Here is a 17,649-nt window from a genome sequence, read left to right on the forward strand (position 1 = left end):
CAAATATTTGTTAAACACAGTCTGTGTGCCAGGCAGTATCCTGGGCTCTGGGTTATACAAAACCCTGAATTTGTGGTGTTGTCTATAAGAGTTTTTTGGTTTTGTCTTCATTTTTTATTTTACTATCATTGTTCCATGACTGACTTTCAAAATTCGGTTGCACAGTACTTTCTGAGGGAACTTGTGACCAGGTAGTCATTTGATATTAGCCCCTGAAGATTCCTGGATATGAAATATTTCTTTGCTTTTATGTCAATGTAAACACAAATAGTAAAATGCAAGTTGGGTTGAATTGTTAAAAAGAGAGGGTGTTCATATCAATCTTGAGTTTTGTTTTGTGTTTTCCATCACAAGGTGGCTCCAAAAATCAAAGCCCTGATGATGGAGTCAGGTACGACCATGGTTGGCTACCAGCCCCAAGGGGACAAGGCCAACTTCTTCCGGATGGTCATCTCCAACCCAGCCGCTACCCAGTCTGACATTGACTTCCTCATTGAGGAGATAGAAAGACTGGGCCAGGATCTGTAATCATCCTTCGCAGAACATGAGTTTATGGGAATGCCTTTTCCCTCTGGCACTCCAGAACAAACCTCTATATGTTGCTGAAACACACAGGCCATTTCATTGAGGGAAAACATAATATCTTGAAGAATATTGTTAAAACCTTACTTAAAGCTTGTTTGTTCTAGTTAGCAGGAAATAGTGTTCTTTTTAAAAAGTTGCACATTAGGAACAGAGTATATATGTACAGTTATACATACCTCTCTCTATATATACATGTATAGTGAGTGTGGCTTAGTAATAGATCACGGCATGTTTCCCGCTCCAAGAGAATTCACTTTACCTTCAGCAGTTACCGAGGAGCTAAACATGCTGCCAACCAGCTTGTCCAACAACTCCAGGAAAACTGTTTTTCAAAACGCCATGTCCTAGGGGCCGAGGGAAATGCTGTTGGTGAGAATCGACCTCACTGTCAGCGTTTCTCCACCTGAAGTGATGATGGATGAGAAAAAACACCACCAAATGACAAGTCACACCCTCCCCATTAGTATCCTGTTAGGGGAAAATAGTAGCAGAGTCATTGTTACAGGTGTACTATGGCTGTATTTTTAGAGATTAATTTGTGTAGATTGTGTAAATTCCTGTTGTCTGACCTTGGTGGTGGGAGGGGGAGACTATGTGTCATGATTTCAATGATTGTTTAATTGTAGGTCAATGAAATATTTGCTTATTTATATTCAGAGATGTACCATGTTAAAGAGGCGTCTTGTATTTTCTTCCCATTTGTAATGTATCTTATTTATATATGAAGTAAGTTCTGAAAACTGTTTATGGTATTTTCGTGCATTTGTGAGCCAAAGAGAAAAGATTAAAATTAGTGAGATTTGTATTTATATTAGAGTGCCCTTAAAATAATGATTTAAGCATTTTACTGTCTGTAAGAGAATTCTAAGATTGTACATAAAGTCATATATATGGAAATCCTGTTACTTAAATAGCATCTGCTCTTCTCTTACGCTCTCTGTCTGGCTGTACGTCTGGTGTTCTCAATGCTTTTCTAGCAACTGTTGGATAATAACTAGATCTCCTGTAATTTTGTAGTAGTTGATGACCAATCTCTGTGACTCGCTTAGCTGAAACCTAAGGCAACATTTCCGAAGACCTTCTGAAGATCTCAGATAAAGTGACCAGGCTCACAACTGTTTTTGAAGAAGGGAAATTCACACTGTGCGTTTTAGAGTATGCAAGAAGAATATAAATAAATAAAAATATTCTCCATGGAGAATTTGAACAAAATTTTCTTCTAGTTTGTGTTTCATACAGAGATGTTTCTAATTAGAGTTCCTTGGGTTGCCCATAGCCCATTTGCTTTCTATTGGCTGACTTTAGGTGATGCTCAGTACCCTGATTAAGCTGAAGGAGACTCGATCCACTGTCACAGGCTCTGAAGCTCCTCATCTATAAAATCATTATGGGCTGGGCATGGTGGTGCATGCCTGTAATCCTAGCACTTTGGGAGGCTGAGGCAGGCAGATCACTTGAGCTCAGGAGTTCGAGACCCATCTGTGCAACAGGGCGAAACCCTGTCTCTGCAAGAAATGTAAAAATTAGCCAGCTGTGGTGATGCGCACCTGTGGTCCCAACTATTTGGGAACCTGAGGTGCAAGGATCACCTGAGCCCAGGAGATCAAGGCTGCAGTGAGCTGAAATCGTGCCACTGCACTCCAGCCTGGGTGACAGAGTGAGACCCTGTCTCAATCAATCAATAAAATCATTATGATTATAATTAATTAAATGTGCAGTTCAAGCCTTGAGAAAGAAAAGCCATCCCTGTTTCTCCTTTTCCTACTTGCATCTTGGAGTTACATTCATTCAGTCATTCAACAAAAGATAAGTATTCCTTCTAGTGGGCATCTTACATCACTTGGTATCTCTGCTAACTGAGTGCCTCTAAGATCACAGAAGCATAACTTCCTGCTGCTTTATGCTTGTAGAGTGGTCCCCATTCACTTCCTAGGGAAATATATGTTGGTGCTGGATCATTAGGATATGGGACTGATTTTCTACAATATTCTTTGTGTGTGTGTGTGTGTGTGTGTATGTGTGTGTGTGTGTGTGAGAGAGAGAGAGAGAGAGAGAAAGAGTCTCAACTCTGTCACCAGGCTGGAGTGCAGTGGCGCCATCTCAGCTCACTGCAACCTCTGTCTCCCCGGTTCAAGCGATTCTCCTGCCTCAGTCTTCTGAGTAGCTGGGATTACAGGCGTGCACCACCACACCCAGCTAGTTTTTGTATTTTAGTAGAGCCACGGTTTCCCCATGTTGGCCAGGATGGTCTCAATCTCTTGACCTCGAGATCTGCCCACCTCGGCCTCCCAAAGTGCTGGGATTACAGGCGTGAGCCACTGCGCCCAGCCCATTTTCTACAATATTTTATTCAGCTATATTAATACAATCTCACTCATTTGGAATACAAGAAGCTCCCTATTTAGCACAGGTAGGGAATACAGAAGAGTCCTTTGTAATTAGCACACTGATTGCATGTAACCATTGTATTAAACGACTCTATAGGGAGTGATCATAAAGCCACTTATTCTTTCTCTCACTGTTTCTATAAAACGCCCCTGGGGGCTGATTTTTTCCATGCCCCCATTTGAATTTAGGCCAATCCCATAGCTTTTCTGTCCTCTCGGGTGCATGAACAGTCTCATTTTTGCAACTGAGGGTCCAGGTTGATGTAATAAGCAAAGTTTCAATTTTTATATGATATAGAGTTTCTCCCCCCTCCCCCCGATCTGGCACTGCTTCAGCTGCAAGCCTACAGTGGCAGGGAGAGCAAGGCTGACGGTGGGTGAGGTCACCTTTTTTCTTCATCTTTCAGCTCATCTCCCTAGCTCCTGTGCTTCCTCATTCAGGGTCAGGCCTAGCGGGAGGAAGGGATAACGTGACAAAGGTAAAATTTTACATGGCTATTAAATTGTCATTGGGCATCAAGTTCCCTGGAACATGAGTTTTTGTTTTTTGGGGGGGTTTTTTGTTTTTTTTTTTGAGAAATTTTCTGGAGTGAATGAGGATTTTTGGAATTAAGGTAAAATTTAGATACAATGAAACTTTTTGTAGTGTACTGTGTATAGTTTTCTGTGGATTTTGACAAACCCATTCAGTCATGTATTAATAACTATCATCATGATCAAGGTCTACAACAGGTCTGTCACCCCAACGAATTTCCCATCCCCCTTTGTACTGAACACCTCTCCTACTCAGCTCTTGGCAACCTCTGCTTTGTTTTCTGTCCCTAGACTTTTGCCTTTCCCACCATGTAAATGGAATCATATAAGATTTAGTCTTTTTTTAGTCTGGTTTCTTTTGCTTAACGTAGTGCACTTGAAATCCATCCATGTTATCTCTATATCAGTGTTCATTCCTTTTCACTACCGCATAGTATTCCATTTGCATAAATGTACCATACTCTGCTTATCCATCCCTTAGTAGAGGGGAATTTCTGTTGTTTCCAGTTTTTTTGGCGATTAGAATAAAGCTACTGGAAACAATAGTGTGCAGATTTTTCTGTGAACATAGATTTCATTTAACTTGGGTAAATACCTACGTGTAGGATTGCAAGATAACATTAATAATATGTTTAATTTTATCAGAAACTGCTAAACTATTTTCCAAAGTGGCTGTACCATTTTGCATTCTCACCAGCAATGCACAAATATTCCAGTTGCTCCATATTCTTGCTGACACTTGGTACTGTCATTTTCCCCCCATGCTGGCCATTCTAAAAGTGTTATCTTGTGGTTCTAATTTGCTTTTTCGTGAAGCACTTTTGAAGGATCCCTCTGGGGTCCTCCCAGCTCATTGCACAGGAGGCAGTAAAGGTTTATCCTCCTGCAACCACTTAGGACTCAGACCCTCAGGCCTGGGCCCCTGGCAGTCTACACTGTCCAGACCTTGTAGTTGGGATCCTTTCTTCTCCAAGTAGTACATTTGGCCAGGATGCCTTTTATTTAACATCAGTTACTGGCCAGGTGCAGTGGCTCACGTCTGTGATCCCAGCACTTTGGAAGGCCAAACTGGAAGGACTGCCTTGAGCCCAGGAGTTCAAGGCCAGCCTGGGTACATTGGGAGATCCCATCTCTACAAAAAATAAAAAAATAGCTGGGAGTGTGGTGGTGAGCCCCTGTGATGCCAGCTACTCAGAAGGCTGAGGTGGGAAGATCACTGGAGCCCAAGAGGTCAAGGCTGCAGTGAGCCATGATCATGCCACTGCATTCCAGCCTGAGCAACAGAGTGAGACACCATCTCAAAAAAAAAAAAACAGAAACAAAAACAAAACCCTCCTTAGATAATCTACAATAACTGATTTTTTTTTTTTTTTTTTTTTTGAGACAGGATCCCGCTTTGTCACCCAGGCTAGAGTATTGTGGCATGATCACAGCTCACTGCAACCTCGAACTCCTGGGCTTAAGCAATCCTCCCACCTCAGCCTCCCAAGTAACTGGGACTGCAGGTGCATGCCATCATGCCCAGCTAATTTTTTATTTTTTTGTAGAGATGGAGTCTCATTCTGTTGCCCAGACTAGTCTCAAACTCCTGAACTCAACTGATCCTTTCACCTCGGCCTCCCAAACTGCTAGAATTACAGGCATAAGCCACTGTGCCTGACCAAGAAGGGCTTTATTAGACATACATGTATAGGACAAAGGGTGATGACATTATACTTGAGTACCCATTACTTAGCCTAAGATATAGAACATTATTATTATCATGACCTTAGCACTCTCCAACCCCGTCACGAACCTTCCCTGATTGGATGCTCCCCACTCTCTAAGAAGTGATCACTATTCTGAATTTTGTGTTACTCACTCTCTTATTTTTCTATATAGTTTTACCACATACTCATGCATCCTTATTGTTTAGTCTTACCTGATTTTGTACTTTATGTAAACAGAATAATACAGAATTTTTATACTTCTGTGACTTTTCTAGTCAACATTATGATTTTGTTTGTCCAGAGCTAACCTCTAGGGAGACTTCGTGCAGTTTAAAATAAAAAAGGTACCCCTGTCTTGATAGCTAAGCATCCCTGTGCCAGTGGAGCTGGAATAGACTTCAGCGCCTACTCAACCTATTGGCACACCCTGCAAACACGGTCTCATGTAGAAGCCTCATGGTTTTGAGAGTCACCTTTGACAATGGCTGCAGCTGTAATTCATTCATTTTTATGGCTGCAATGCTATTACAGTGTATGAATATACTTCAGAAGGTTTATCCATTCTATTGGGGGTGAATATATGAGTTTTTCCAGTTTTGCCTTTAGAGATAACATTGCTATGAGCATTCTAGTACCTGTTTTCTGGGGTACATGTACAAAAGTTTTTCTAAGGTTTATACCTGGAAGTGAAATTGCTGGGTCACAATGTATTTATGGAACTTTACTGAGTAGAGCGGTCATACCAAGTTGCATTTCAAGCAGCCGTGCACATTGTGCTATAACTTCACCATCAGTTGGCCTAAGATTTTTGCCAGTCTGGCAAGTATGAAATAGTATCTAATTGTAAATTTAATTTGTGTCTCCCTGATTACAAATGAGGTTGAGCGCCTTTTCACATTATTATGAACCGTTTATGTTCTGTCTTCTATGAAATGCCTAAATCATGCCTTTTGTCAAATTTTCAATTGTTTGTCTTTTTCTTTTGATTCTTTAGGTATTCTTTATATATTCCAAATCCTAATTCTTTTAAATTATGTTTGGCAAATGTCTTCTTCTAATTCAGGGCCACCCTTTTTACTCAGTTAATGGTCTTTTCTGAAAACATAAGTTCTTAAATTTAATGTAAATTTATCAATTATTTTCATTGTTTCTGCTTTTCTTGTATGTCTTCTTTAAGAAATTCTTCCGTATCCCAAAGCCATAAAGACATTCCCATATATTGGCTTTTAAGTTTTAAGGTTTTATGCCTTTCACATTTAAGCCTTCAATCCATCTTGAATTGATTTTTGTGTTTGGTTCTTTTTTGAGACTGAAAGGGCTATTAATAGCCCCTCAATCTTCCATATAAATTTAGAACCAATTCATCAAGTTTCTAAAAAATTCCTATTGGCATTTTTATTGAAATTTCATTGAATCAGTGGATCAACTGAAGAACACTAACATCTTTTTAATATTGAATATAGTAGCCATAAGTATAGTATGTATTTCCACTTAACTAGGTCATCTTTAATGTATTTCAGTAGTTCCACAACAGTCACAGAAAACTTTCTTTTTTTCTCTTTGAGATGGGGTCTCACTCTGTCACCCAGGCTGGAGTACAGTGGCATGATCTCGGCTCAATGCAGCCTCGACCTCCTGGGCTCAAGTGATCATCCCACCACAGCCTCCCAAGTAGCTGGGACCACAGGCACACACCACCATGCCCAGCTAATTTTTTGTATTTTGGTGGAGATGGTGTTTCGCTATGTCACCCAGGCTAGTCTCAAACTCCTGAGCTCAAGAAATCTGCCTGCCTCAGCCTCCCAAAGTGCTGAGATTACAGGCATGTGCCACCGCACCCCATCCACGCAAAACTTTTGACAGATTTATTCCTAGGTGCTTTATATTGTTGTTATTTTTAATGGCATCTCTTAAAAATTACATTTTCTAACTGTTGCTGATGTATAGAAATATAATTGCCTTCTAATGAAGGATTTTTTTAAAAAAAGAAGGAAAGCAATTAAAAAGAACAACAAAAAAGAAATGTAATTGCCTTTCGGTTGATGATTTTATATCCAGAAAGCTTGCTAAAACGCAAATAATTTGTTTCTTTAATGCTTTCTAAACAGGCAAATATACCATCTATGAATAATGGCAACTTTGCTTATTCATTTCTGATTCTTATGTCTTTTATTTTGCTTTTCCTTGATATACTAAACAGTCCAGGATATCCAGTACAGCATGCAAAAGAAGTGTTAGTAGCAAGCACCCTTACCTGATTCCTGATATTAGAGGGAATGCTTTCACCAGTCACCATTTGGTTTCACATTTCCTTTAGTTTTTTTGTAGATCCCCTTTAATGGGTTAATAACATTTCTTTTAATTTTTAGTTTCTATAGTAAATAAATGTTTAATTTCATCAACTTTTTCTGCATTTGTTGAGATGATCATCTTTCTTCTTCATGTGTTAATGTGGCATTATTCATAAACTAAATTTTCCATGTCTTGAGTCAGTTTTTGCAAGTTGTATTTTTCCAGGAATTTACACATACTTTAAGTTTTCAGATTTATTGGCATAAAGTTGTCTATAATATTCTTTTATTTTTAAAATTTGTTTCTATCTGTAGTTACATTCCCCATTTTTTCTTAATAGTGTTAATTTGTGTCTTCTTTCATTATTGCTTTATCTTAGCAGATGTTTGTCAGTTTCATTAAACTTTTCAGAAAATGTTTGTCAATATTCTCAGTTATATGGTTGTTTTTTACTTCATTAATTTATCTTTCTATATGTATTATTTCCTTCCCTCTACTTAAATTTTTTTTTTTTTTTTAGTTTCGTCTGCTGTTCCTATTTCTTTCTTTTCTTTTGTTTTTTCTGAGACGAAGTCTTGCTCTGTCTCCCAGGCTGGAGTGCGGTGGCGCGATCTCAGCTCACTGCAACCTCCACCTCCTGGGTTCACGCCATTCTCCTGCTTCAGCCTCCCGAGTAGCTGGGACTACAGGCGCCTGCCACCAGGCCCGGCTAATTTTTTTTTTTTTTTTTTGCATTTTTAGTAGAGATGCGGTTTCACCGTGTTAGCCAGGATGGTCTCAATCTCCTGACCCTGTGATCCGCCCGCCTCAGCCTCCCAAAGTGCTGGGATTACAGGCGTGAGCCCCCGCGCCAGGCCTGCTGTTCCTATTTCTAATTTCTCAGGTTGTATACATGGATCATTAATTTTGAGCTTTTCTTCTTTTCTAATGATAGCATTAAGAATAAATATTTCCCTACAAGCATCCCTTTAACCATATACTACAAGGTTTCCACATATTATTTTGTTATCATTTGATTCTAAATACAGTGAATTTATCAATTTTCTCTTGTAGTTGGATAATTTTTGCTCTATTATTAGGTATAAACAAGTTTATCATTTTCATATTTTTCTGGTGATTTAAGCTTTTATCACTGTGTAGTGACCAGTGTTGGGTGTGGGGGTTTTTTGCCTTTTTGTCTAATAGTCTATTTTGTCTTATATTAATATAGCTATACCACATTTCTTTAGATTAGTCTCTGCTTGATATACATTTCCTTCTTTTAAGGATATTTCTGTATCCTTATGATTTAGGTTTGTGTTGTATAAATGGCCTAGAGCTAGATTTTATCATTTTCTTTTTTCTTTTTTTTTTTTTTTGTTTCTTTTGAGACAGGGTCTCACTCTGTCACGTGCTGGAGGGCAATGCCATTCTCATGGCTCACTGCAGCCTCCAGATCCTGGGCTCAAGCGATCCTCCTGCCTCAGCCTCCCGAGTAATTGGGACCACAAGCATGCACCACCACACCCAGCTAATTTTTGTATTTTTTGTAGAGACGGGGTTCCAAACTCCTGAACTCAAGCAATCCACCCACCTCAGCCTCCCAAAGTGCTGGGATTACAGATGTGAGCCACCATGCCTGGGCCTTTTTCTGACCCTCTTTGTCTTTTAACTGAAGGAAGTCATTCACTTCATTTATTGTGATTACTGATATATTTTGATTTAATTCTATCATCTCATTTTGTGCTGTTTGTTCCACTTTTTCTCTTCTTCTTTTTTCTCTGCTTGTCAAAAAATTTGGATTCATGGAGGTTTGCTTTTTGTTTCTTTTGTTTTTCTGATTTTCCCCCTCTGCTTATAAGTTATACTCTCTATGTCTGTTTTTCGTTGGCTACCCTAGATACAACAGCATAAATATTTTACCATTTCAAAAGTTAATAATTTTACTCTCCTCATGAGTCATTTAAGAATCCAAGAATAATTTTACTCTGATCCTCTTCCCAATATGCATACCAATGCTATCCAGTATTTTAAGTCTCTCTTCTAACCCCACAATTTGTACATTATTAATAATTTTGTTTGGTTGATTTTTGCTTGATGTGCCCACATATTTACCACTGCGTTTGTGCATGATTCCCTCTTACATCTCAGACCTTTCATTTGGGTCATTTTCTTTTTTCCTGATCTGCATGTGTTTGAACTTTTCCTTATTGAAGCCTATTAATAGCCCCTCTCTAGAAGGAGCTCTCTAACTTTGTCTGCTTCGTGGGCATCATTTCTGAGGCTGGTTTGAAAGCACAATGATCCAGGTGATTTGCTGCTTTGAGGATGGCAACAGTAACTCTTAGATAAAACAGACTTTGTTAAACAGGAAATGTTCCAGTCACACCCCAGGGCTCTGCCTCTAGGCATTATGACTCTGTTATCTCTTACACATAAAGGATACCAGATACATGCATCAAAATGTACCTGCCAGAATCTTAAATCCTTTAATCTGAGCAAATGATATAAAGCAAATTTATAAAGAAAATCTCACTATATTTTTGGCTGAAAAGTGGAATTCTTTAAAATAAATGTGGTATGCAAGGTTGCTTTAATATTCCAATAAAACCACTTCAAAATTCCTATTCCCGGTTCCCTCGTTCTCCATAATGGACATTTGTGTTTTATGCCTGCCAGGCATCTATTGTTTCTTCTTCTGGTCATATCGCCTTCATTTTTCTTTGAGAAAATATTCTTTCTTCATTCTTTCCCAATGAAAGTAAAGGGATGAGCTCACCTTCTGATTCCAGAGATAGTCACCCAACTCAAGTGTGGTCAATCAAGGCATTCTAATCCTCTGGGCAAAACGGATGGACACCTGACCCTAGACAGGCTGATGAGATTCCTGAGGTGAGATCATGAAGCCCCAGACCAGTACTGCAGGCTGTACAAGCTTCCTGAGGCCTCACCAGAAGCAGAGCAGATACTGGCACCATGCTTGTATAGCCTGCAGAACTGTGAGCCAGTTAAACCTCTTTTCTTTATAAATTATGCAGTCTCAGGTATTCCTCTGGGGAGCCCTCAAAGAAACTGTGTGTGGGTGATATGGTTTGGATGTTTGTTCCCTGCAAATCTCACGTTGAAATGTAATCCCCAATGATGGAGGTGGGGTCTGGTGGCCTAACACAGCGGGGGAAAGAAGAGGGCATGAGGAATGGCATTCTACTTTGTAGCAGGTTAATGAGTGGGATTTTCTGTTTGCCCCAAAATTGGTGCTTAGGATCCAATGCTGGAGACAAAAAGGCAGTAAGTACCCCACATTCTAAAGAAAGCGGCTGACCATTGGGATGCTCACCACGCTCACAGCTTACTGGGTGGGGTGGGGTGGGGTGGGGTGGGGTGGGCGTTGAGCTGGCCCTTCTTTTTGTTTTTTGAGATGGAGTCTCACTCTGTTGCCCAGGCTGGAGTACAGTGGTGCGATCTCGGCTCACTGCAATCTCTGCCTCCCGGGTTCAAGCGATTCTCCTGCCTCAGCCTCCTGAGTAGCTGGGACTGCAGGCGCATGCCACCACGCCCGGCTGGTTTTTGTATTTTTAGTAGAGACGGGATTTCACCATGTTGGTCAGGCTGGTCTCGAACTCCTGACCTCAGGTGATCCGCCTGCCTCGGTCTCCCAAAGTGCTGGGATTGCAGGTGTAAGCCACCACGTCTGGCCGAGCTGGCCCTTCTAACACCAGCCATAGCCTCGAACCAGCCCCACAACCCCACCACCTTCTCAGAGAAGAGAGAAGAGATTTGCTAGGGTTGTGAGTTGGGGTCCAACACCCCATTGCAGCTAGAGCCTGGAGGATGAAGAGGAGGCAGCATCCCAGAGGTGATATAGCCCTTCCACTCTGAGGGAAGGTGGAGAGGTTGGGAGAGGACCAGAGCAGTTCACAGCCCTGTCCTGACCACTGCAGTTCCTTTGAGCCATAAGCCTGACAAGATGGGAAAATAGACAGCTTTGAGAAGCTGGAACATCTTTAATAATCAAGGGTGTTCATGAAGTTACGGAATCTAAGCTGGTGGTGGTGCTAAGGGGTCCACTACCTAATGAGAAAGAGATAATAATCTGGAAAGGAGACAAAGACAAATAAAACCAGTTTATGTTTTACCCCACCCAGTTAGGATTGTACAAAAATGTTTACAACTAATTTACAATAATGGCAGAATAAGCACCAGGGATCTTCTTTTTTGGGGGTGGAGGGGCACGGAGTCTTGCTCTGTTGCCCAGGCTGGAGTGCAGTGGCTCAATCTCGGCTCACTGCAACTTCCACCTCCCAGGTTCAAGCAATTCTCCTGCCTCAGCCTCCTGAGTAGCAGGGATTACAGGCACATGCCACCAAGCTAATTTTTGACTAATTTTTGTATTTTTAGTGGAGACTAATTTTTGTATTTTTAGTAGAGACAGGGTTTCACTATGTTGGCCAGGCTGCTTGAACTCCTGACCTCAGGTGATCCACCCGCCTTGGCCTCCCAAACTGCTGGGATTACAGACATGAGCCACCACACCTGGCCGTATTTTTTTTTTTTTTTTTTTTTTTAGGCAGGGCCTCACTCTGTTGCACAGGCTGGAGTACAGTGGTGCAATTATGGTTCATTGCAGCCTTGACCTCCTGGGCTCAAGTGATCCTCTCTGCTCAGCCTCCCGAGTAGCTGAGACTACAGGCACACACCACCACACCCGGCTAATTTTTTGTATTGTTTGTAGAGACAGGGTTTCGCTGTGTTGCCCTGGCTGATTCCAAACCCCTGAGCTCAAGCAATCCTCTCACCTTGGCCTCCCAAAGTGCAGGAATTATAGGCATGGGCCGCCGTGCTGGACCAGTACCAAGGATCTTATTTTCTCCTGATAGTAGTCAAGCTGCCTTACTCTTTCCTATTAGGGAAAAACAAGCTTGATTGTGAATATTTTCCCCCAGATAACTTCAGAGAACAAAAACAAAGAAAAGGGCCCAAAGTAGACTCAACCATTTTATGAGCAGAGAAGGACAAAGAACTTCGACTAGATTTCTATGTTCTTACACACTGAAAGGAAGGAGTGAAAGGACAGGCTGTGGGGTCCAATCAAGGCAATGGCTCCATGATGCCAGGGCATGGTGTTAGTGAAGTGAACAGTGGAGCATGGCCTGCAGACCTAGAAGAGCATCTCCCATGTTGGGCCACTGTGCAGCCCGGGGGACCTTTGGCACATCACAGCAAGAGCTGGAGAATGCCTCCCGGCAGGGCTGAAAGAAATGGTGAATTTCTCGTGGTGCCTGAGGGCACGGCATCCCCACCTGGGCCTTTGGTTTTTTTAAGTTTTATTTTCTTCTTAACTGACAAATAATAATTATATATATTTATGGGGTATAATGTGATGTTTTGATACATGTGTACATTGTGGAATGATCAAATCAGGCTGATTAACTTATCCATCACTTCAAATATTTTTTGTTTCTTTGTGGTAAAACATTTAAAATTCATTCCTTTAGCTATTTAGAAATATGCGATACATTATTATTAACTATAGTCAGTCACCATGCCATGTAATAGATCACCAGAAAAGCATACCTGGAGTTTCCTCAGATAATGCATACGGGGTAGCCTGAATAAATAGGTTTTTACTACTAATGTTGTAACCCTATTTTTCCTTCCATGCAGATGTGGCCTGGGGAAAGATGGGAAAAAGGAGACCGGAGGCAAAACTCCAATCTCTCCTCCCTTCAAGCTGATCTAAAAACTCACTTTTTTCTGTGTGTTGTGGCTCACACCTGTAGTCTCAGCACTTTGGGAAACTGGGGCAGGAGGATCACTTGAAGCCAAGAGTTCGAGACCAGCCTGGGCAATATAGCGAGACCCTGTCTCTACAAATGAATAAAATAAAACTCACTTTTAAAGTACAAACTGCTTTGCATTCCCTGGAAATGGCAATGTATTTGATAGGCATTAGCTTTAGTTTTTATTTCATGGAGCAAATCCTTGTAACCTCTCACTTCTTAGGCCACACCATGCCCTCCGCCTGCGTAGACACTCGTGCACTGCATAGGCCCTGTGTTAAATCCCGCTTAATTGATAGTAGAGATTTTCTTCTCCTACTGCTCCTCCTTCCAAAGTAAATTTAAAATGGAGCAAACTTGAAAGAAAAAAAGAGGGAGAGAGAGACAAAGGGAGAAAGAAGAAGGAAAGAAAAGAAAAGGAAATCTATGGCTTAACTTCTTACTTGTGGGCCTTGGAGAAAATCAGCTGAAAGAAAGGGGTGGGAGGAGGTGAGAGTTAACTGGTGCTCAGTGGACTCCAATTACAACCTAATGGCAAACTGGGGAAAGCACAGACTTCTTGTCTTACTCTAGTCAGGGGGGTCTGAAAGAAGCTGCAATCCCCTTGGGAGGGAGACTTAGAAAGGCGCCTTGTTTTAGTGTTACTTTTAGAGTAGTGGGGGCCGTGATGCTGGTGAGTGGAATAAACAGGAAAAAGAAAAGCAAAAGAACGCTTCCTTTGTGCGTTTTTAACAGGAAAGCCCTCATTGTCTCCTCAGGCTCCACAGACGCCACCTAGTGGGCAAACAACCAGCTGACACTCAGCCGGCAGCTGGGGTCAGCCAGAGTTGACATTTCACGTCGCCCTTACTTCACCTGCCCAGTGCAGGAGTGTAGACAGCGCTTTAGCTCCTCGAAGGTTGCCCATCACTTTTGGGGCAGAAGCAGCAGCTGATCAGGACTGACGGAAGGTGGCTCGGGAGAACCAGGGAGCCCCAAGAGGTGGGACAGAGCAAAGGGGAGTCCTGGCTGCCGCATGCCAGCCAGGAGTCAGGAACTAGAGAGGCCAAGGACTGGCCAGGGTTCCAGCAACACCAAGGATCTGGAATCTAGGGTATCTGATGAGGCGAGTTGGAACTCAGTGGTCCTCAAAACAGAGGTCTAATGCTTAGAAGGTCATCACTATTCAAGACAGTAGCACCAGCCTGCAGACATGCAGTGGTGAGGTTCATTCTAGGCAGGAAATAGCTCTCCTCTGATCCATGCTATATTTTATACTACTGTGTGTGCCTTTGTGGGCCTGGAGAAGACTTCTGGGGCCCGAGAAAGTCTGGATATAAGGAATATTGAACATAAGTTTACCAATCAGTTGACCTTCAGATAGGGAGGTTAGCCTGGATCATGCAGGCAGGCCCAGGGTCATCACTTGAGTCCTTAAAGGCAGAAGGACTCAGGCATGGCAGAATGAGAAGTCAGTGCACGGCTGCTGTTTTGCAGATGAAGGGGACCACGTAAAAAGGAATATTGGTGGCCGGGCGTGGTGGCTCACGCCTGTAATCCCAGCACTTTGGGAGGCCGAGGCGGGTGGATCACGAGGTCAGGAGATTTTGACCATTCTGGCTAACACATGAAACCCCGTCTCTACTAAAAATACAAAAAATTAGCCGGGCGTGCTGGCAGGCGCCTGTAGTCCCAGCTACTCGGGAGGCTGAGGCAGAAGAATGGTGTGAACCCGGGAGGCAGAGCTTGCAGTGAGCCCAGATCGCGCCACTGCACTCCAGCCTGGGCGACAGAGCGAGACTCTGTCTCAAAAAAAAAAAAAAAAAAGGAATACTAGTGCAGTGGCCTCAAGGAGCTGGGACAATGCCAGACCGAAAGTCAGCAAGGAAGCAAGGACTTCAGACCTACCGCTGCGAGGAACTGGATTCGGCCAGCAACCTGAATGAGCTTGGAGGCACGTCTCCCAGCGAAGCCTGGCAATGGGAGCCCGGCCTCGGGAGCATGCGCATCTAGGCAGTGAGTCCAGCCAAGCCAGCCCAGATTTCTGACCCACTGAACCGTAAGAGAATAAATGGATGTGCTGTAAATTTCCCAATTTATGATAGTCTGTCAAACAGCAATGGAAAACTAAGACCAACCCTAACTGAGTTAGCTGGAATGGAGGGTGACTCAAAAGTTACATGGCATAGCCTCTTGGGCAAACACTCTCCACAGCAGTTGGGAGGCTGAGGTGGGAGGTTCACTTGAGCCCGTGATTTCAAGACCAGCCTGGGCAACATAGTGATAATCTATTGCTACAAAACTTTTTTAAAAAAATTAGCTGGGCCTGGTAGCATGTGCCTGTAATGCCAGCTACTTGAGAGGCTGAGGTGGTAGGATCACTTGAGTCTGGGAGGTGAAGGCTGCAGTGAGCTATTGCACCACTGCAATCCAGCCTGGGTGACAGAGCAAGACCGTGTCTTAGGAAAATTATATTTATTTATTTGTTTATTTAAACACTCTCAACTCAAACAAATTTGAAATGGTTCTATTTTTCTCTAACCACTGCCTTCAACTATATGAAGATACATCTTACTGCCTACTGGATAACAGGTACTCTAATAATATCTTGGGTGTTTCTTCAGCTTCCTGGTCACTCTTAGTTATGAAAAGTCTATTTAATTTAAGGTTCCAACATCATATCTGATTGAAAGCATTCCCTCCCCTCATCACCTGAGAGCTTGTAACTGCAGGGAACTGAGTGGAGGGTGTGACATGAATGACTCTTTTACCCTTCTTCCCCCATATCTTCTGGATGGGGTGGCTGCGGCACAGTCTGCCCTTGAGATACCGTCTCCACAGGACACAGGCTCCTGTGGGCTCTAGCTCCTCTGGGAGGTTGAGTCGGGGGAGGAAGAAGAGAGAAAGGGACAGGTGTCTCCTACTTCACTGGGCGGTGTTGTGGCCTTGTCCCGTGGCTGTCCTGCATCTCTGGCTCTCTTGGGTGCATGAGGTCTTCAGAGGGCTCTTAGCAGGGAGTCTCCCTACTGCACTATTGCCCATGTAAGAGTTCCAGCTCTGGCCCAGCCTCTCTCAATCCCCCTTGGCTCCTGCCAGCCTTCTTGGCCCAACCTCCTTTACCCTCCTCAGGGTCCGTTTGACCAACGCGAATATCATACATCCTTGCCACACCAGCCAGTGGGATTGAATCCTGCTCCACGTTCATCCTCCTCGTTTGACCCTGACATTGTTCTTTCATTTTCATTTCCCCTGCTTAGAAAGGCACAGAACAAATTCACATGTCTACTCCCTAACCAGAAAGACAGCAAGAGAATAAAATATCTAAATCCCCCCTTTTCAAGCTTCCCCACTATCTATGAGTAAATTGCTTAGAAGTCGTCTCCCATTATTTAGCTTGGAGGGGGACGGGCATTCCCTCCCCTTCACTAAAGCAATGTTCCTTGCAAAAATCATTGCACGGCTCACAGGGATGAGGGCTTGAATGATGGATGCAAGTAGGAAAGCCAGTTAAGGCACAGCTTAATACTCCCAAGGGAGGCGCCTAACCCAACGGTTGGTGGCTGTCTTTAGAACATGAGGTACGTAAACCTTTGTCCTCATCTTTGAGCCCCAGTCAGCAATTCCTGGGCTCCAGAAACAGTTCTCACTCAACATCCTGTTTCAAAAGTAAGAAATGGTTGGGCTCATGACTGTAATTCCAGCATTTGGGAGGCTGAGGCGGAGGATCCCTTGAGCCTAGGAGTTCAAGATTTCAGTGAGCTATGATTATGCCACTGCACTCCAGCATGGGCAACACAGTGAGACCTTGTCTCAAAAAAAAAAAAAAAAAAAGGTAAAAGAAATGAAAACTGTCTCAACACAAATGCAAAAGATTTCTTCATTTTTTGCCTAATGACATATAATGTTAATAGATTCACAAGACAGGTATGTAGATGTGTACAAACATTGAAATACATCAACTATACAACACAGGATGAGCATGATAAGGCTTAAAGTTCAGGTAAAAAGAAAAATAAAAGGAAAGGCTAGGAGATTTTAGTGGATGAGCTCGCAATGTGACTTGGCCACCAAAGCACTTAATGAAATCTGTGACCAGACACCTCAGAGTATATAGTGCAGCACAGAATGATAATAGCCTCATTGCTCTCACTCTGCTTGGGCCATATCTGGAGGACAATGTGCAATTCTGGGAACCACCTGGGAAAGAGCAGGTGGTCAAACAATATTGACAGAGCTCAACAAAAAGCAACTGGATGAGAAGGTGCTTATAAGATGCCCCATGGGAATATTTGAACACACTGGGGATTTTTCATTTGGATATGACTTGAGGACGGGGAGAGGAAATGATTGCTCTTTGAAGGGTGTTAGCAGTTCCAGAGAGTAAAGCTAAAGCAAATGAACATA

At 42.6% G+C, this 17,649-nt stretch overlaps 1 protein-coding gene across 5 annotated transcripts in view, besides 1 other annotated feature; it reads left to right on the plus strand.

Annotated features, from left to right (window-relative positions):
- GAD1 (glutamate decarboxylase 1) overlaps window positions 1-1,797 on the plus strand; it is a 47,942-nt gene extending 46,145 nt beyond the window's left edge. For all 5 annotated transcript variants that reach the window (XM_011510922.1, NM_000817.3, XM_017003756.2 and 2 more), the window contains one exon: window positions 355-1,797. In XM_011510922.1, coding sequence (XP_011509224.1) covers window positions 355-528 — 174 coding nt within the window. In that variant the 3' untranslated portion in view covers window positions 529-1,797. The remainder of the gene's footprint in view (window positions 1-354) is intronic.
- Window positions 14,250-14,309: an enhancer, noted in NCBI's record as "active region_16744". NCBI's record gives its function as "activates an Ori minimal core promoter by ATAC-STARR-seq in GM12878 lymphoblastoid cells {active_cell/tissue: GM12878}" and the evidence as "EXISTENCE:reporter gene assay evidence [ECO:0000049][PMID:35858748]".

The sequence above is a fragment of the Homo sapiens genome, chromosome 2 (genome assembly GCF_000001405.40).
Source record: "Homo sapiens chromosome 2, GRCh38.p14 Primary Assembly".
NCBI lineage: Eukaryota > Metazoa > Chordata > Mammalia > Primates > Hominidae > Homo > Homo sapiens.